The sequence below is a fragment of the Homo sapiens genome, chromosome 6 (assembly GCF_000001405.40).
Source record: "Homo sapiens chromosome 6, GRCh38.p14 Primary Assembly".
Lineage (NCBI taxonomy): Eukaryota > Metazoa > Chordata > Mammalia > Primates > Hominidae > Homo > Homo sapiens.
In genome coordinates, this window is record NC_000006.12 from 129,311,933 (window position 1) to 129,333,610 (window position 21,678).

At 36.8% G+C, this 21,678-nt stretch overlaps 1 protein-coding gene across 2 annotated transcripts in view; it reads left to right on the top strand.

Moving 5' to 3' along the window:
- Window positions 1-21,678, top strand: part of LAMA2 (laminin subunit alpha 2) — a 633,429-nt gene that overhangs the window by 428,795 nt on the left and 182,956 nt on the right. For both annotated transcript variants that reach the window (NM_000426.4, NM_001079823.2), the window contains exons 23-29: window positions 929-1,165; window positions 2,723-2,866; window positions 3,544-3,723; window positions 3,830-4,018; window positions 4,106-4,239; window positions 8,606-8,723; window positions 16,346-16,480. In NM_000426.4, coding sequence (NP_000417.3) covers window positions 929-1,165; window positions 2,723-2,866; window positions 3,544-3,723; window positions 3,830-4,018; window positions 4,106-4,239; window positions 8,606-8,723; window positions 16,346-16,480 — 1,137 coding nt within the window. The remainder of the gene's footprint in view (window positions 1-928; window positions 1,166-2,722; window positions 2,867-3,543; window positions 3,724-3,829; window positions 4,019-4,105; window positions 4,240-8,605; window positions 8,724-16,345; window positions 16,481-21,678) is intronic.

Genomic DNA, 21,678 nt, shown 5'->3' on the forward strand with positions numbered 1-21,678 from the left:
TAAAACAAAGGAAAATGATTGCAGAAGACATTAGGATATTATAGATTTGGCAGAGAGAACAGAGTGATGTACTTTAAGAATTATAGATGATCCTGAAAAAGAAAATTGATTAATTAGAACAGATGTAAAAATCAAAAACAAATCTGAAGAAGAAACAGTACTGAATCAAAACACAATTATGTTCCCAAACTGAAAGAACTATGTTCCAGTAAGTTGATGGAAAAAAAAAAAACAAACCCAAGCTTCAGAAAATTCTAGCAAAAATATGAATTATGTAAATAAAGAGAAAATCGTGTATACATCTTGGGCGAAGAAAAACGTTACTAACAGAGACCTCAAATCAGAATTGTATGCAAGAATAAATGCCAAAAAACAATATACTAGATGTTACTTCTCTTCAAGCTCTCCTTGGATTCCCCAAGTCTAGTCTGATGCCCTTTGTATGTTCACATAGCATTTTGGACTTCTCCTATTATATAATGCTTATTCTATCATGTTATGCTAACATATTTACTTGTCTCCCTCTACTAGACCGTAAGGTATGTCTCCAAATAAATGTTTAAATGCTACAATTATGAGATAATAAGGTAAAATAACTTTGTCTAAAATTTAATCTTTGAGACAAAGCAGTTGGAAAAAACCCATACCCAGCCCCTCTCTACCTCAGAAAGAGAGAAGACACATTTTCTTTCTAATTCACATAGCATTATGGTTTCTGGACGATCATATATTTCCATAAATGCAGGAAGCAATTTTAATGTTTATGTTCACTGATGTTTCCCAAGTGACTAAACTAGAATAGTACAAAGCCTATAACAGATACATGATTAATATGTGTTTAATGGAAGCATAGAAACATTAGAATTAAAATTTTAAGATATTTCCCATAAAGTTGTGTTAATGGTTGCTGTTTTTATCTCCTCTATAGGCTTGTAACTGCAGCACAGTGGGATCCTTGGATTTCCAATGCAATGTAAATACAGGCCAATGCAACTGTCATCCAAAATTCTCTGGTGCAAAATGTACAGAGTGCAGTCGAGGTCACTGGAACTACCCTCGCTGCAATCTCTGTGACTGCTTCCTCCCTGGGACAGATGCCACAACCTGTGATTCAGAGACTAAAAAATGCTCCTGTAGTGATCAAACTGGGCAGTGCACTTGTAAGGTATGTGCTGCTGACATGCAGCTAGGGAAAACCTCCCTCAATTCTGTTTCCATTGCTCAGTTTTAACTTCATTCAGTGTTTGTTATACCTGCTTCATTAAGCTAAACAAACAGATGGACAAAATCTCATTGCCAGACATGGAGTTTTCATTGATATGCATTTGTTGGCATACCGATAAACACTGCTTTTCTAGAGCTTATTTTCAACCCAAACCCACCTTTTTTTCTAGTTGGTGGAGATGATCTATTTTCAATGGTATAGTGATTTTTTAAAAAATATATTAGATTTGCTTCGATAAGGACAATCTGGGAGGGGTGGCAGGGAAGACAGTTCTTTTAAGCATCATCAGAGAAAATCACAGCTAAATAATAAGGCTTATAAAAACCATTTCTCCAAAAATTAATCTGCAATCGCTGTATACTAGAAAATATATTTACTGCTGTGGAAGTTTAGTAAAATTTCAACACATATAAACGCTGTCATTACAAACAGTGACTATGTGCAAATTTCAGCCCTCATTAATATGGTTAAATGATGTAGAAAAAGAGCCAATTAAAAAGGTAAAAAGGATTTTTCCCCTCAGATAGTTCTGAAAAATCAATTCCAGGATAAATGCAGTTTAAACTGTGTCAGAGGTATCTTTTCAAGATAAAATCTATGCAAAAAGGGACAGAGGAAACAGGAAGATAAAATCTGGGTAGTGGTTGTTAAAATGGCCTTGAGAATTGAGGAAAATGGCAGTTTCTACCATCAAGGGCTTCGGCCAATACCGAGTACAATGCTGCATTCTTATATCTCGCAATTATGATCATATATTTAATACATGTTATGTGTGTATATATATTACAATAATTATATAAATTGATATTTTAACCTGCTGCCTATTTCTTACAGCTTACAATAGCACCACTGTTTAAGACTCAATGTTTTTATGTTGCTTTTGAAATTTTCATGAGTCTTTCATATTGCTCAGAGCAGAACTGTAGAAAATGTACCACTTACATTTAAGAAACAATGTACAGGCCGGGCGTGGTGGCTCACGCCTGTAATCCCACCACTTTGGGAGGCCGAGGCGGGCGGATCACGAGGTCAGGAGATCGAGACAATCCTGGCTAACACGGTGAAACCCCGTCTCTACTAAAAATACAAAAATTAGCTGGGCGCGGTGGCGGGCGCCTGTAGTCCCATCTACTCGGAAGGCTGAGGCCGGAGAATGGTGTGAACCTGGGAGGCGGAGCTTGCAGTGAGCAGAGATAGCGCCACTGCACTCTGGCCTGGGCGAAAGAGCGAGACTCCGTCTCAAAAAAAAAAAAAAAAAAAAAGTACAATACCTTTAGTCTTATATCTATTTAAAAATAAAGCATTTTTAAAAGATCCATGAACTCCTAACAATGAGGTTAACTACATGTGCCATTTGAGATGTGAGTCTAATACTCAGTGTTCTTCTGTTTTGTTTTAAATTTTTTAAAAAGAGTATGCTCCCGTTATGCATTCTCAGGGTGATTTCTCCCCTAACTTTGCCGTTATAAACTCTGAGGGTCTCTTGTCTTTCCTCAGGTGAATGTGGAAGGCATCCACTGTGACAGATGCCGGCCTGGCAAATTCGGACTCGATGCCAAGAATCCACTTGGCTGCAGCAGCTGCTATTGCTTCGGCACTACTACCCAGTGCTCTGAAGCAAAAGGACTGATCCGGACGTGGGTGAGTAGGGAACTGCTGAGCCATGTAATGGTATAATGTTAGTTCCTGCTGGTGTCTTTTAGTCAGGCACTGAGGGGTAGTAGAAAATGGCAAAACATTTAAGTAACCTTTTCCTCTGTGAACATTTAGGAACAGCAAAGGGGTCACGTGCCATTAGAGAGTTGGAGTAAATGCCTTTCTTATTTGTTCTTAAAAGTAGTTCACTTATTGATAAGGAAATAGATGCCAAGTGAAAAAGAGGAACCTTGTCCGGGAAGCATTATGTTTTGAGATGGGAAGAGTGAGGGCACCAGAGCATGAATGTTGATATGAGCTAACACACCAATGAGAACCAGGACTTGTCACACATTCATTCCAACCAACCTTAGGCAATCATGATTTTTGGAGTGAAAACATGTTCATTTTTCATTTTCCTTTAACTCTTTCTACATTTAGATTCAATTTGTGTTAGTGTGAAAGGCTCCAGTGTCCACAGATATTGTGGCTTTCACTATGTGAATTAGTCAAAAAGATTTACGTCCTGCCATGCTTGCCCACTGCGTGTGAGTTCTGTTGCTTGTGAGAACATCATCAGAATGGGTATAGGAACTGCAGATAGACATGCAGTTCGTAACTTAGTTTTAAAGAAATGTCCAAAGCGTAAATTCAGCCTTCTGCTGTATTTTGACCCCTTGCAGGTGACTCTGAAGGCTGAGCAGACCATTCTACCCCTGGTAGATGAGGCTCTGCAGCACACGACCACCAAGGGCATTGTTTTTCAACATCCAGAGATTGTTGCCCACATGGACCTGATGAGAGAAGATCTCCATTTGGAACCTTTTTATTGGAAACTTCCAGAACAATTTGAAGGAAAGAAGGTAAGCACAAGAACTTTAATGTCAAGTGAGAACAAGATAAAATCTTTTTAGAATCACACCATTTGGAGATTTATCCAATTCCTCATTCTTCTTTTTATTTTGTCAGTTGATGGCCTATGGGGGCAAACTCAAGTATGCAATCTATTTCGAGGCTCGGGAAGAAACAGGTTTCTCTACATATAATCCTCAAGTGATCATTCGAGGTGGGACACCTACTCATGCTAGAATTATCGTCAGGCATATGGCTGCTCCTCTGATTGGCCAATTGACAAGGCATGAAATTGAAATGACAGAGGTAAAGTTAGTCATTGTTTGGTGCAAAGATACCAATCAATGGTTTTGCATTCAGTTTTGTCATAGTGATTTCTCTTCTTGTTAACAGAAAGAATGGAAATATTATGGGGATGATCCTCGAGTCCATAGAACTGTGACCCGAGAAGACTTCTTGGATATACTATATGATATTCATTACATTCTTATCAAAGCTACTTATGGAAATTTCATGCGACAAAGCAGGTAAACTCTAATAGAAAATATTCAAGCTCTTATTTTAGAGTCTGTAAGGAAGGTTATTGACCTACAGATATCAGATAAGAAAGATTGGAAAGTGATTGGTTTTGCAGTATAATGATAGAAGATAAACCATGGAGGCTTCCCTGTGACCTGGAAGAAGCTACTACCATTCATCAGAAAAGAAAAATAGCATGAGAAACACGTTAAAGGGAAAAAAAAATATGGAATTCACTGCAGACATAGTGAGTTTAAGATGCCAGTCATAAATTCAAGAGATCATATACTGTAGATCAGGTAAAATTAACTGTTGTGGTATAAATGGATTATAAAAGTGCTGAGAAAGTGACCTCTTCACCCATCAGGGGAACCAGGCAGGGCCAAGTTGGTCCAGTCTCCTCCAACTGTGAGCATTCTAATCTGTTCACCCCAGTGTGCCATACAATGTTGTCATTTTCCCTATGCATCATGTTGAGAAATGATTCTGAATCACTTTGAAAAAAATCACACAGAACAGCAAGAATGAATGCAATGTTGTCGAACCTACATGATGGGAATACTTCAAGGGAGTATTCCGTGTTTTCTTATGACCAAAATTGGCCAACTGAAATGAGGCTTGTTGGGTCTGACACTTAGGACCACACTGGTAACATTCATGATACCGGTCTCAGTGTCCTGGGGCAGAATTAATCTCAAGCTTTTAAAGAAAGAATGTGACACATGAGCCCAATATTATGAGTGTAAACTATTATTTTCCATGAATATAATTGTAAAAAGAAGGAATAACATATTGTCAAAAGTAAAAAGATGATTGTTTAATTTGAAAGAGTATGTTTACAGAACATGGGAATGGATTAGTAATGAGGAAAATATTGAAATATAAAATAAAGAGAGAATAACTAATAGAGGAACCAGGAGACTTCCACATCATGGACCCTCATGGTCATATTCTTTGAGTAGACGGTTCACCTTATCCAATGGGATAAAATGAGAAATCATACAGATTTAGGTAAGTTTCATACCATGGAGGCAGAAAGTTGAACTGAGTTCATATAGGAGACCTCAATTTCTCTTTCATGTCAGTCTCTGTTACATTCTATGAGAATATAGAATCGATATATGTTTGTAAATAGTCTTATATAATAAATTATTAGACCTGCCTAGGAAAGCAAAACAGAAAAATTATGAAGTCTCTCAATGGCCAACTAATGAATATAAAAATACTATTTTTCAAATGTTTATACTGGAATAAGCACACAAGACAGCAGAAAACCTTTTATTTCATGCAGAAGATCCATAATGCTTTTCTGATTGATGTAGAGACTTTTAGTAAAAGAGTAAATTAAGGACCAAAATTCACTTTTATATATGTATTCCTTGGGTTTCCTTTTGATATTTCTCACTATAACAGGAGATTATTTTTATATGAAATAATAAAAAAAATATACTTAAAAAACGCTGTTATCTATACTGTTAATTATTTTAGAATATCACATGTAAATTAGGTGGCAGAAGCCATAGCAGATTTGCATGTCTTAGAAAATAGCAGGTAATTTCGTGAGTTTGCAAATAGATTATTTTGCAAATGGTTCTGTACTGCAGTAAAAGAGTTTGGTAGTAAACAGAACATCTTGTTAGTGGAACTGATAGAAACAATATTGTCATTCATCTTTAATTATACTTTCTTTGCTTCTCTCACACCAATTTCACCTTCCTACACTGTGACACTTTGTCTTTTTTTTTTTTCCCGCCCTATGTCTTTTTCTTTTGTCACACTGTTTTACATACCTCACCAAATGAGATCTTTTGGTTTAAGTGACCGTTTTTTTGAAACTTTAGAATACATTTTTCCTAATCTCAGTAAAAACTGGGGTCATAGTCTCACAATGCTAAGAACAAATAAAGCTGTCATCAGCATTTGATTTTGTAAGGCAGTGGAATTGTGGCAAAGGTTTTTAAAAGGTTTGAATAGTCCCCCTAAAGTAATTAAAATAACCTTGTATCTTTATTTATTCAATTATAAATTTAAATCTCAAAAGCAGAGAGTTTAAGAGTTTATATTCTGTTTGAGGTTTGAACTTTGTACATTGTATCAGTGCTGGCATTATCTTTTTTCTTTGCTTTTGTTTCCTTTTATAAAGTTTAATTTAAGGAAATAGCAACTTTTGCATTTCAGTAGTTATTTAAATGGAAGCTGGAGTTTGGCCAAATCCCTGATGCAATCAAAGCCATTGCTCTCTAATCCCCTGAAAAAAAAAATGGTGTATTGCAGAAATATTTGTTGTTGCTGCCATTCAAGCTTCACTTGATTTGTAAACACTTGCGGGTCTGTTATGTGCATTCATGTGCAAGAGAAAGGAGAATGAAGCCAGTAGCTCCTCGGGCTATAAAATTCCATGGAGATGCCAATGCAAAGTTACCTTCTTACTCCCACAGAGAGCCCAGAGAACATAAGGGAGAAGTTTTTCTTGCAGAAGGGGAGTGGTTTGCTTACAGCTCACCACCACTGTGTGTACTTACAGGGAGCAGAGAGTGAAACCTGAATTTTAATTGAATGTGTGTTTCATCAAGACCAATCTTCAGAGTGCAGATTACAATGCTAGCAAAGAACATGCATTCATAATTCAGTTTCAATAAAACCTACCTATGCTTGTTATAAAGTTTATGACTCAAACTCCTTAAACTCCTGGAGGTAACTTTTATTTGAAGCAAAACTATTCATTGTCACATTTTAAAGTTTATTTCCCAAACATGTTTGTGTTACCAGTTAGTCCATCATAAAATAGTCCCAGTTTATGGACTACATTTATTTTTTAATGAAAAGGGTATTAATATGTTATTTTCAATTATGATTTTCTTTTCAATTATAATGACTATTTCACCATCAGAAAAGGTGAGTTAAGTTACTTGAAGGAATTATTTAATAAAGTTAAGAAAATATTATTTTGAAACATTATCCTCAGAAAGAAATCAATATTATTAGATTATGCGTGATCATTATTTTCTAGGTGGTTTTCTAAAGTTCCTGAAAGGTCATTCAGAGCATTGGGAAGAAGAAATTTGGGATAGTAGTAAATTCAAAGCAATTTCACCAGTGCCTGTACGAAATAATTGAATGGGGAATGACCTTGGGTTGTCTGTTTGCAAGAATATAAATGTCTAATTAATTGGCCGTGTCTACCTGAAGCCACTCACATTTTAAAAAGTGGGGGGAATATCTTTATAATAACTTTTCAACAGGATATCAGACATCCAATATACTAAACTTCTTATGATTTATGTGAATATTTTGCTAATATGTACTCTTAACATTTGAGGAAGCAAAAATGCAATATTAGGATTTGGTACATGAGCCCCAGAAATTTAAACAGCTTCAAAACAATGTTAATTATCTTGATTTAATCATCCCACAACTTATCTATGTATCAAAATATCACATTGTTTAAATAAATATAGTTGACCCTTGAACAACATGGTGGTTAGGAGCATCAACCCCACCTCATGCAGTCAGAAATCCACATATAACTTTTGATACCTTCAAAACTTAACTACTAATAGCCTCCTGTTGAACAGAAGCCATACTGATAACATAGTAGATTAACATATATTTGTGTGGGTATTATATATTGTATTCTTATAATAAAGTGAGCTAGAGAAAAGAAAATGTTATTAAGAAAGTAATAAGGGCTGGGCTCAGTGGCTCATGCCTGTAATCCCAGCACTTCGGGAGGCCAAAGCAGGCAGATCACTTGAGGTCAACAGTTCAAGACCAGCCTGGCCAACATGATGAAACCCAGTTTCTACTAAAAATACAATAATTAGCTGGGCGTGGTGTTGCACACCTGTAATCCCAGCTACTCAGGAGGCTGAGGCAGGAGAATCACTTGAACCTGGTAGGCGGAGGTTGTAGTGAGCCAAGATTATGCCACTACACTCCAGCCTGGGTGACAGAGTGAGACTCTGTCTCAAATAAATAAATAAATAAATAAATAAAAAGAAAAAAAAAAAGAAAAGAATAGGAAGAGCAAATATATTAAGTGGAAGTGGATCATTGTAAAGGTCTTCATCCTCGTTGTCTTCATTTTGAGCAGACTAAAGAGGAGGAGGAAGAAGAGGAGGGATTGGTCCTGCTATCTCTGGGTAGCAGACGTGGAAGAAAATCCCCGTACAAGTGAACCCATGCAGTTCAAGCCCATATTGTTCAAGGGTCAACTTATGTACAATTATTATTTGTCAATTAAAAACAAAAAGACAATAGAACATACTTGAGGTTGACAAAAACGTGAGAAGGATATTGCTGTAGGATTGATTGTTTACTAGGTGATCTTAACTGACTGTCATAGTAATCTAAGTACATTCTCGCTGTTTCTAGGATTTCTGAAATCTCAATGGAGGTAGCTGAACAAGGACGTGGAACAACAATGACTCCTCCAGCTGACTTGATTGAAAAATGTGATTGTCCCCTGGGCTATTCTGGCCTGTCCTGTGAGGTAAGCTACCTCCTACTAACCTGCTTAATCTCAAGTCACTTCAGGAGCTAAATGGAAATACTCCCAGAAGTACCTTTACTGCATACATATTCTTAATCTATTTTATTTAATCTTCCACTCACAGTGTGAGACACAGTGGCAAGAGGATAATGTTATTGATATTTAGTACAAATCATACCTGAAGGGAAATAGTTGATCAAAAATTTAAAGATTTGTGAAAATATTTAACAATCAGGAATTAAGAATGTTTTAATAAGCCTATTTATTATAGCTGATCTATTTTCTTGGACCACTTCTGAAGAGTTAGAGACATTTAAACTGCAATGATTAGGAGATAGGATTATACTGGGTTTTGAAAATATTTTTATATAGAACACGACAAAACTTGTACACTAAATAGCAGGCTGTTCCCTTTAACATAAGCTTCTCAGGGAAACATATCTTTGTTCCAACAGTGCTGCTATGAGTCATTACAGTTATAAAACTATCTTTTTTTTTTACATTTTAAAAGTAATTTTAAAACTGCTTTTCAATAAACTTGCTGAGATATTCTCTTGTCTGCCTTCAAGATTGTCAAATTTCTTAGGATCTAATTTCTATAATTGTGAAATATTAATAGGAACAGTACGACTTAAGGGAGGTGGAATGAATAGATGAGAAACTGGCCTGGGTTTGAATCTCGACTTCACCATACAGTAAGCCTGAGACCCTGCACTGGGTGCTACACCTCTTTAGGCTTTAGCAGGTAAACACCAAGTCCCTGAGTAACTACCACTACACTTTCACCTCTCCCGCAGACCCCACAGTCTGAAGCCTGGCATGCATGGGGCCTCCAGGACTGCTCCAGCCCTACAGCTGGGATTCTTTCTCATTAGTCAGGCTGGCTGGTGCTCACAGCATACCAGTTAGATATTATTAAATCTCCCTCACCTACAGCCTGAGTCTTATGAAGACTAAATGAGCTGTTAATGTTAAGGATTCATCACAGCACCTGGTGTGTAGATGATGTAAGTTTTGATGGTTAATATTATTATTAATGTAATCACTAGTTATATACCCATGTATTGATTCAGTTATAAATAATTTTATACATCTTATTTTGTAAATAGGATTTGAGAAGTTGTATTAAGTATGGTACATGAGACAGATGATTCCACTAGGTCAAAACTGAAGTGCAACTTAAAAATAATGAGTATACATTTCTTGAGAGGGACATGGCATCATGAAAAGAAAAAGGAATTTGGTTTCAGTGAATCCTACCTAGCTGCACTACTTGGACAGGTTACTTGCTCTGTTTTTGCTAAATCTTGGGTTTTTACCTATACATCCTAAGGATTGATTTAAATGGAAACGTATGTGTGAAAATCCCTTTACAAACTGACATGCCATTCAGCTTAGTTACCATCACATGGATTCCATATAGTTCAAGGAAAAAGTTTATAAAATAACTGCAACTGTTTTGTGACACATGCTTAAAATGATTTTCTACTCTTTCCTGTGACTTCTCTGAAGGGCAATATTTATTTACATGTGTCCATTTTGAGCTAATAAATAATCAAGTAATCCATCTCCTTATTAAATTGTATTTCCTACATCTATTTATACACACACTAGTAAACTTATACTGGTAAGCACTGCTTATACAGTAAGCACTGCTCTTTCCAATATACATATGTACACATAGTGTATGGGTGAAAACTGAGACTGTGTGGCACATATGAAATGAGTGACCTTTCCAGTGAGCATTGAAGATTTTAAAATGGAGGACAGAAAGAATGTGAGATTTTTCTAGACAAGAGATGGAATTTCCTTTATCCCAGGTAGCGTTTGGTTTTACTTTTAACTGTGTGCACTTGATCAATGCTCTTAATTGCTGTAGACCTTCGTTATTATATAGCTATCCAATCTATAAAATGACAGATTGAGTTGAAGTTCTAAAATTCTCTGATTCTGCAATATTATTTTGCTATAGAAAATATTCTGTAAGTAGTCAAGGTTGACCTTTAGATATCTTGAAGAGAAGGTTATTACAGCTATATTTTTCTGCATTTATTTGAAATAATACTGTTCACTTGTGAACAAAAATGTTAGTAGAATAGCAAATTATTTTCATGCAACCAACCTTCCATTCTGGATTTAAAATGTTAAAAACCTTTCTTCATATGATTGATAGACTTTTTGAATAGTACATTCAAATACATGCTTTCCCATTAATTTGAGTCATTTTCCATCATTATATGAAAATGTAAATGAGCACAAATAAAACAAATGATAAATGAAAATCAAGAAAAACTAAGAATATGTACAAATTGTCATCTGCATTAGTGGCTTCACCGTCCCATGACTTTCACTTAAGCATCTATTTACAGACAGTAATTGCAGTAATATCTTAGTAGAGAGATTACAGAGATAAAGACCTATCTCTCATAATAATGTACCTGAAGTGTTTTCCACAACCCATGGCCTCTAATCCATTATACCTCTTATTTATAATTCATCTTGATTCCTAAGTGTAATTACCCAGGCATAAAATCTTATCATCAAAGCAAGAGCTAAGGGCAGTTTTGAAATAATACATCCCATTCCAGTAACATATGCTTTGGGTCATGAATACACAAAGCAGTTCCTCTACAATATTTTTACAAAATGTATAGTATTCTAGAGACATCTGCATCTACAGGCTATTTTATTTCATGTTTTTATCCACAATATGGTTGCAAGTAAACAAAATTAAGTATCAGTTACTGCTAAAATATAGCCAGTTGTAAAGACTCTTAGCCTTTGCTTGTTACCTGCACTGTTATGACAGTGCAGGCCTGGTCATTAAAAATGTTAGTTTTAGAAATGCCTAATTATTATAATTTACTATTTGCAGAAGGGGCCAGATTACCTTCAGGAGTCAAACAAAGGACACCATTTCCTCACCAGATTTCTTGGTGTTGGAGCCATTGAGTTTGTTATACTTTATTTAACCTGTCTTTGAGTGACATTAAATATAGGTTATTGCCCAAACTGACCTAAACTGAGCTTTATGCAGTTGAAAGGTTATATGCAGGTACCATTCTTACTTATGACTTTCTTTCTTAAATATGGAAAATATTCAGCCTTGCGTGTGCAGCTCTCTGCAGTAATACGGAAATCAGAAATTTGTCAATGATCTCTAGGTCATGTTTTGATAGTTTCAGCTTCTATCCTGTCTTCCCATATTTTAAAAGGGCTTTAGGCTTGCAGTTGAATGGCCGGTGTCTATTGGATCGCCACTCAGAAGCTGTCCCTTGTGGCTATTAAAACTGATTTTTTTAAATCTCCAAATAATTTATACCTATCGTCAACACATAAAGCCCAAAAGGCAAAATGTGAAAATAGTCTTAGCTACTTACATATGCACACATCTATCCTTTATCACTTCTGTTGCACACCAGAGACCCAAAGTCTCTGTTTTCATGTACAGACAAGTGTTGAGGAACATGGCATGGGTAAGTTATGTTATAATTTTGTTTACAAATATAACCTAAAACAATCATGGTATCTTTATTTTTAGTTTATTTCCAGCAAACATAGAAAAAACTATTTGAGATAGAGAAACCTATTGATTTATGTATGACAATTATTAAACATGCTTTATCTCAAGTAATCCTCAGATCCACCCTATGAAAAGCAGAACCTACCATTGATTGAGTGCTTACTATCTCCTGTACACTTCCTAATACAGTTACACCAACATCATCGACTATAATTTATGATCCCCATTTTACGGGTGAGAGAATTGAGGCCCATGATCACACACCTACACAGCAATTCAAACCTCAATGAATCTGTTTCCAAAACCTAGGTAAACTTGTACTCAACTATTATATTATGCAGTCATGTGCTGCTTAACGACAGGGATACGTTCTGAGAAATGTGTCGTTAGGTGATCTCCTCATTGTGCAAACATCATAGAGTGTACATACACAAACCTAAATGGTGTAGCCTACTACACACCTAGGCTACATGGGATAGCCTGTTGCTCCTAGGCTACAGACCTGCACAGCATGTTATTGGTACTGAATACAGTAGGCAATTGTAACATAATGGTAAGTATTTGCATATCTAAACATATTTAAACATAGCAAAGGTACATTAAAAATATAGTTTTATAATCTTATGGGACCACTGTCGTACACATGGTCCTATCATTGACCAAAATGTCATTATGCAGCAGCACATGACTGTACAATATTCCTACATTCCAGGTGAGGAAACCAAGGCACACAGTATTCAGAACCTTACTACATACAAAGTGGTGAAACAGGAATTAAACTCGGGTCTGCCTGATTGCAAAATCCATGCAAAGATACAAGATAGAGTGTTTTTATGAGCTCCAGCACAAGCATCTATTTTTATTACTAAACTCTGAAGAAAGAAAGGAGCGCAGTGTGCAGCCCTGAGCCTAGGATAGGATAGGTCTCTACAGTCTGCTTCATTCTCTCCTCTCTACCCTCCCACATTTTTGTGTAAATTTAATCTAATTTTTTGATGAAACAATATATTATGAAAATAAATTAAAGATAGACGAGAGCAGAAGAAAATTGAGCCATGAATAATTTCAACAGTGGGGAAGAGAACTTTGGAAAAGTTTAAATTAGAGTAGAAATGGGTAAGAGGAGCTCAGGAAAGTATTTATTTGCTTTTCTTTAATTCCCCATTGTGTTCCAGAAAGGATTTTAGATGGGACTCAAAAAGTAACTTTTTTGCTTCCAATTCCAACATAATCATTCTCACAAACTTTTGTCTCAGTTCACCAAGAGGAAAAACATTCAATATTGACAAACACCCTAAAAATTATTTAAATTGAAAGAATAGTGCAAAATAATCAAGGAAAAGAGAGAATTTCTGTTTTTTTTTTTAAAAAAAACAGCACGTTTTAAGTTTCTAATCTTTGCGTTGTCAAATACTCTCTCTCTCTCTTTTGCTACCTCATAGAAATTTAATCCATCAGGATACGAAATAAATCAAAACTAATCTAAAATGTTAAAACTGAAAGACACTTTAGAAGTCATCTGAGTTAACCTACTCATTTGTGGGATGAGGAAACTGGGTCTCAAAGTAACTTGCCCATATCTCTCAGACAAAACTAACATAAAATCAAGGCTTCCCTATTCATTCCTTTTATAGTACCAAGGAGTGGTATGCACTTTTTATGTATTTATTTATTTTTTTGAGATGGAGTCTCGCTTTGTCACTCAGGCTGGAGTGCAGTGGCCAGATCTCAGCTTACTGCAACCTCCACTTCCCAGGTTCAAGCGATGCTCGTGCCTCAGCCTCCAGAGTAGTTGGGACTACAGACACGCATCACCACGCCTGGCTAATTTTTGTATTTTTAGTCAAGACATGGTTTCACCATGTTGGCCAGGCTGGTCTGGAACTCCTGACCTCAAGTAATCCAGCCACCTCAGCCTCCCAAAATGCTGGGATTACAGGCGTGAGCCACCATGTCTCGCCTTTTCCATGTGCCCTTTTAAATGCACACATACACAACAGAGAATAAGGAGCTTGCCAGTGACGCTGCGCTCTAATTGTCTGTTAGACTTTTCTAAGAGTTTTAAAACAAACTCGGGCCTCAACTCTCCCCCAGAGGAATTGACTCCACCTCCTCTAGGGCTGGACCGGACCACAGACTCCCACTATGGGCGCTTGTCTATTGTGTCAGGCTGCCTGTCGGGGAAAACCACAGTAATAGGAAAAATGTGTTGTGCGTTAGAGTAGACTTCACCTTAGGGCTCGCCTTCACATTTGGACCTACAACGCTAAACTGTACAATTCCTCGATGAGGAGTATTACTTCTTGTGTTTCTTTTTCTTCTAAGATTTATTTTAAACTTTTGTTTGAGCTTCAAGGAAACTTCCTCTCAATTTGTGTGATTTTTTACACAAATTTTTACAGACAGTAATTACAGTAATAACTTAGTAGAGAGATTACAGAGATAAAGTCCTATCTCTCATAGTAACACACATGCATGCACCTAGCAAGTATGTCAATAACACAACAATTTTATATATATATAATTTTATATACATATTTATATATTATATATATTTTATATATTATATATATAATTTATATATATAATATATAATTTATATATTATATATATATAATTAATATATATATTCAAGGATGAAATCCATGCACAGAAAATCCAGTTTTATTCAGTGGTCAGCTTGCTAAAGAATTGGAATAACCCACACTATGAACCACTTTTAAATAGATCTTGGTTTATTTCTTCAGTTATGCTTAAACTAATTCTTCAACCATCATTTCCAGGACTTATTCAATAATAATGGCAAAAATGAACCTTGCTTTTTAAATAATATGTATAAACTTTATTAAATTATATGATTATGTCCACCATAAGACAAATAAGACTCAAAATAGTTTGAATACTATTCTCAGTTTTATCAGCTTGCTCAAAGTTGGGACATTATTAAATCTCATTAGAATTTATTTTAGGCTGTGATAAAAGCAGAGAGTCTCTTGATTAAGTGCTTAATTGAAGTACTTTTGCATTATCCAAATCAAAATAAACAAGGAGGGTGCTAGCTATTAAGCTAGATCTTTTTAAGGAGCTTCTTTGTATATTTGTCTCTGGACTGTCTAGGCCAGAACCAAAGGGATGTGGAGGTACTAGAAAGTTCTTAATCTGATATTTTTTCTGGCTTAGTCAGCAATCACTTTTCTTTCATCAATGGGCATAAGATTTTTAAGTGAAAAAAAAAAATTCTACTTAACCAAGGTGGTAAAATAGTCCCCTTGTAATTCTCCATGGGATTTGAAAAACTGACTCCTACCTTTTATTCATAAATCAAGCAATGTCTGCAGCTATGCATGAGGAGAGGACTGAGCCTGAAACACAAGACGGTTTTCATCTTCGTGCCAGAGCTGTGGACTACCTTCCAGAAAGCCAGAGATGTTTGTTGATACATTTTCATAATAAACCCAAATGAAGATGGAAGTCTTGATTTTGCATATGTCAGCTTCACTAGAAGTTTTCTGTTTGCTTTCAGATTTTTATTGCAAAAAGAAAAAAATTATATCAGGGAAAGATAAATTTTATTGGTGGTCTAATAGTCGCAAGACATGTACAGCTTTTATTATTTTGGATTTCTTACTTTTATAGTCTTTAAATTATATCAGTATAAATAATGCATCCATAACACTTTTTATTTAGTTTTTTGCTGTGTTTCATTGGACATTTGCTAGTTATCCATCAAGCACAGTAAAAGCAGATTTTAGGTGTTAAAGACATTGGAATTATCTTTATTCCATATGACAATGTTATTTAAAAACAAACATCTTTTTCAAGAAAAATACTCTTTGGAGCTTTTTCAGGCTGAATTGTATCTACAAATAAAAGCTTTCCTTGGTTAAAATCTGATTACACATGGATGCCGCCCGAACACCTTGGAGACCAGGAAGAAATACACATTAAGTATCAAAATCGGCACTTGCGTTTGTAAGTGATGTTGCCCCTGCCGCAGGTGGGGGAAGGCCAGTCTGTCTTTGCAGCCACTGAAGAGCTCAAGCGTTGCTAATGCAGTATTTCTAACTTTGCTGTCCTAATTGGCTTCCTTTTCTTTCAGGCATGCTTGCCGGGATTTTATCGACTGCGTTCTCAACCAGGTGGCCGCACCCCTGGACCAACCCTGGGCACCTGTGTTCCATGTCAATGTAATGGACACAGCAGCCTGTGTGACCCTGAAACATCGATATGCCAGGTAGTCCTCTGAGCCTTCCTTGAACAAGGTCCATGTGCTCATTCCTCTTTACACATGCTCAGCATCTGCATGCAGAGGCCAGCTAAACTGTAAGGGAATGCAACTGTGTGTGTGAAATAAAATATGTAAGGGAAAAAGATATTCACAGATTCTGCATTTTAAAAAGTAAGGAAAAAATAACTGGGAGAACCACTGAGCATGTCAAGAAATAGAATTTTAGCAGCATCTTAGAAGAGCACCAGAAGACATACCTATTTAAAAATTATGTGTGCCTTTTTTTCTGATTATTTTCTTATAAATAAACTTTCTATAAAATTTGGAAATTACAGAAAAGAATTAAGAAGAAAAAATTCACCCAAAATGCAACATAACATTTTAATGTTTTAAGTATTTCCCACCAATTTTTACATGTGTTTATGAATAAGATTTATATAACACCATGGATGCAGTTTTATGTCTTGTCCTTTACATTTTTACCTATCATGAGGTTGTATTATGTTGTTAGATATTATTTAAAATCTTTACGATCTTTGTTTGGATGTCCCATAATTTACCCATTTCCCTTAGAATTGAGGTAGCTCTTATTTTTTTATGTTTCTGCTGGCACCCTGCACTCTCTACCACCATCTGCATTAGAACAATCAGAACAATCATGTGTTCCACCCTTTTTATCGTAGTCACTGTAAGAAATTCAGGTTGCCCCTGTCACCACTTGTCCCTCAAGCTGTAATCTGCCCACAGCTCATCTTTGTTAAGCCCATCTCCCACCTCTGCTCACCTTCTGAAACCATTCTACTGAGCCTTGTGGAACTCATGGTCAAAACAGGCAAAATACCCCGCAGAATCCTCCTCTTCCCTCAGTGTTCTCTTCATCATGCTCTGACTGAAACCCAACTCTCACTTTGCATGCTGCTACCCCGGCAGCCCTCTTAAGGAGTAGCCATCACCTTTTTGTTTTTTTTTTCCCCTGAGATGCTGACTCACTCTGTCGTGCAGGCTGGAGGGCAGTGGCGATCCTGGCTCACTGCAACCTCCGACTCCCGGGTTCAAGTGATTCTCATGCCTCAGCCTCCTGAGTAGCTGGGACTACAGGCTCACGCCACCACACCTGGATATTTTTTTTATTTTTAGTAGAGACGGGGTTTCACCATGTTGTCTAGGCTGGTCTCGAACTCCTAACCTCAGGTAATCCACCCACCTTGGCCTCCCAAAGTGCTGGGATTACAGGCATGAGCCACCATGCCCAGCTGCAGTCGCCATCACTTTCTTTCACTCCCTTCATTCCCCTGAGTCTGAAGGTGGGGGCAGGTTTTCCTGCTCCTCGCTGCCAGTTTCATATTATCCATCCTCCTCTACATCAGGGTCCACAACCCCTGGGCCACAGGAGGATATTGGTCCGTGGCCTTTTAGAAACCAGACCACACAGCAGGAGGCAAGCAGCAGGCAAAGGAGCAAGCGCAGCTTCATTAGCATTTACAGCTGCTCCTCATTCCTGGTATTACTGTACTGCCTGAGCTCCACCTCCTGTCAGATCAGAGACAGCATTAGATTCTCATAGGAGCACAAACCCTATTGTGAACTGCACATGTGAGGGATCTAGGTTGTGCGCTCCTGAGAATCTAATGCCTGATGATCAATGATCTGTCACTGTCTCCCATCACCCCAAGATGGGACTATCTAGTTGCAGGAAAACAAGCTTAGGGCTTCCACTGATTCTATGTTATGGTGAGTTGTATAATTATTTCATTATATATTACAATGTAATAATAATAGATAGTAATAATAATAATAGATAATAAAGTGCACAGTAAATATAACATGCTTGCATCATCACAAAACCATCCCCCAATCCTAGTCCATGGAAAAATTGCCTTCCATGAAACCAGTCCCTGGTGCCAAAAACATTGGAGACGCTGCTCTACAGCACCCAGCTTTGACTCTCATGCTTCCCTCTATGTGCCCCCTCTCCATCTGCTTGTCGAAGTCACCTACTAACCTTTAAATACCCCACATCATTCCTTGCTGATTTTCCCTGTCTAATTGTCATTTTCCCTAGCACTACTCCTGTCATCATTCTTAGTGATTTTAATGTCCATGAACTTAACTCTTCCATACTCTTCACTTTCAGTTTCTTGTGCCTCTCTGGTCTCCATTTGAAGCGTTTTTTTGTTGTTGTTTGGTTTTTGTTTTTTTTTTTTTTTTTCCCACTGTGTCGTTTCTCTCTAGTTCACTTCTTCTAAATACTTCCACTTCAATGTGTGTAATCTCACAATTGATGCACACACTTTTTTCTTGTTCCTTATCTCATGCTTTCACTGTAGTAACCAGCTTAATAGTCATGATCTTTCATTGGTATTACTGCTTTGCAACGCTCATTTCCCTGGCTACTCCTTTACTTATTTTTTACTCAAGTGAACTCCAACACTGTGAGAATCCTACCATCTCCTCCATACCTGCACCTTCTTTTTTTTTTTGAGACGGAGTCTTGCTCTGTCACCCAGGCTGGAGTGCAGTGACGCGATCTCAGCTCACTGCAAGCTCCGCCTCTCAGGTTCAAGCCATTCTCCTGCCTCAGCCTCCTGAGTAGCTGGAACTACAGGTGCCCACCACCATGCCCGGCTTCTTTTTTTGTATTTTTAATAGAGACGGGGTTTCACTGTGTTAGCCAGGATGGACTCGATCTCCTGACCTCATGATCCATGATTCGCCTCCTTCGGCCTCCCAAAGTGCTGGGACTACAGGCGTAAGCCACTGCGCCCGGCCACCTGCACCTTCTAAGCTGAACGTGGCTGTAGAAAAAGACAATTGTGCCATCTAATCTCACCTTAAATTCATGATCCCTCTCTTCAAATGGACCCTTTGTGCTGCTCTGCAATCATGCCACTTTTCTCTCATCCTTTTTCTTTTCCACATTCCTAGGTGATTATTTCATACCTCCCCCTCCATCCTCAAGCCTAAACCTCTCCTCTCACCCCCTCCCATCCTTACCCTCAGTTGATGGTGTTGCCTCTTATTTCATTGAGAATTTAGAAGCTGTCAGAAGAGAGGTAACAAGCTCCCACTACTGCATGCACCCACTTTTCTGCATCTGTGCCCAATTATTATGACTCTTTTCTATTACTTTGGATGAATTATTCTTGTTTCCAGAAAAGATCACATCTTCCCCCTATGTTCTCAATTCTACCCCTCTCCCGCTTGATGACATCACTCTGGCTAATCTCTCCTCCTTCTTATATTGTCACTTTTTTTTTCCATCTTAAAAGCAAAAACAAACTCTCCTGACTCATTTCCTTTCTAAGTAACCACTTCATTCTTCTCCTTCCATACAATGGAGAGCTGTCTATCCCGTCTATAATTTCTCTTCATCCATTCTCCTTTGAATTACTAAAAACAGGCTATCACCTCCTCTTCTATACTGGATTCAATGGCTAATCTACAGCCACCAGTGTTCACCTTACTATATCTAACAGCCATGTTTGCCACTGTGAATCACCCCATTCTTCTTGAAACCCTTTGCTCAATTTGCTTTCCAGCCCATGGCATTCTGGAGATGTTCAAATTCCATAGTGGCTCCTTCTCAGCTTTCTTCATTACTCTGAAATCTACATAGTGGTATTCCTGGGACTCAATCCTTGGAGCAATTTGTTTCTCTAACTACATTCATTCAGATGGTGATCTTACCCAGGCATGTGGCTTTCTGTACTGAGATATTTTGATATTGACATCCCACAGTATTTACTATTAAGTTTATGATTTAATTTTATATCCACTCATTACTATGGTGTGGGGAGGTAATTTTTCTGCAGATATGTATTACCACTGTAAAGAAACATTTACTGATTAATATTTCCTTTTCCCCTTGATACATTATTGTATCTGAACATACACAAATTTATTTCATCCATATTAAGATATGTTTCAGTATAATCCATTTTGTTTTACTTACCTTTTAGCTCTTATTACAATGTTCTGCTTACCTTCATTTTATGTTAACATATCTGTAAAGCAAGGTCCTTTATTTCTCTTCTCTTCTAATTAACTAGATGCTCTTACATATTCTTCCAGCTGACACTTTTATGCACTATTTTAATCTCTTCCACAAATTTTAATTACAATCAAAATTACTGGAATTTTGATTGTAATTAAATTAGCCTATTTGTAAAGAATTGCTATATTTACACTAGTCACTCTTCTCTCTTCAGATATTTTATGTCTTACAGTAAACTGTTTTAAGGTTGTCTATATCAAGCACGCATTTCTCATATAAAAATTCTTTCTATGTATCTTACATTTTCATTTTAATGGTAGTAAACATTACCTGTTTTGTTTCAACATAGTAAATGTACTAACTGGTCATTATTGGTAAACCTTAACTATTAGAATAGGTGTTTTTACATGTATTTGATATCCAATAACTTTTATTTTAGTTCTAGAAGTTTATCAGTTGATTCAGTTATTGTTAAGTTTACCATTTTTTTTTTTTTTTTTTTTTTTTTTTGAGAGGGAGTCTTGCTCTGTCACCCAGGCTAGAGGGCAGTGGTGCTATCATGGCTCACTGCAACCTCCACCTCCCAGGTTCAAGCGATTTTCCTGCCTCAGCCTCCTGAGTAGCTGGGATTACAGGCACCTGCCACCATAACTGGCTAATTTTTGCATTTTAGTAGAGATGGGGTTTCACCATTTTAGCCAGGCTGATTTCAAACTCCTGACCTCAAGTGATCTGCCTGCCTCGGCCTCCCAAAGTTCAGGGATTACAGGCATGAACCACCAAACCTGGCCTATAATACTATTATTTGCAAATATTATAATTGTGCTTTCACTTGTCAAAAGCTATATCTGTTATAATAATAATTTCATGTTTTTAAATTGTCTCCCAAAATAATAAGCTTTCTATTTTATTACTGATTTTAATATGATTGCCTTAAGTCTTTCACCATTAAGTATGATGCTGATGGTTAGTATAAGAAAAACATTTCTTGTCATGTTACGAAAACTGCTTTCTATTCCTAGCTTCTTAAAGATATCCTCTTTCAATCAGGATAAGATATTTAAATTACTCATATGCTTAATTGTGGAGAGTGGAGTGGGAATGTAGATGCATTTAAGAGGTGATCATATATAGGTTTTTCACCTTAAACAGAACCATAAATGATATTATTGACTAAATAAATAACTTAATATTAGCCATCCATGAATTC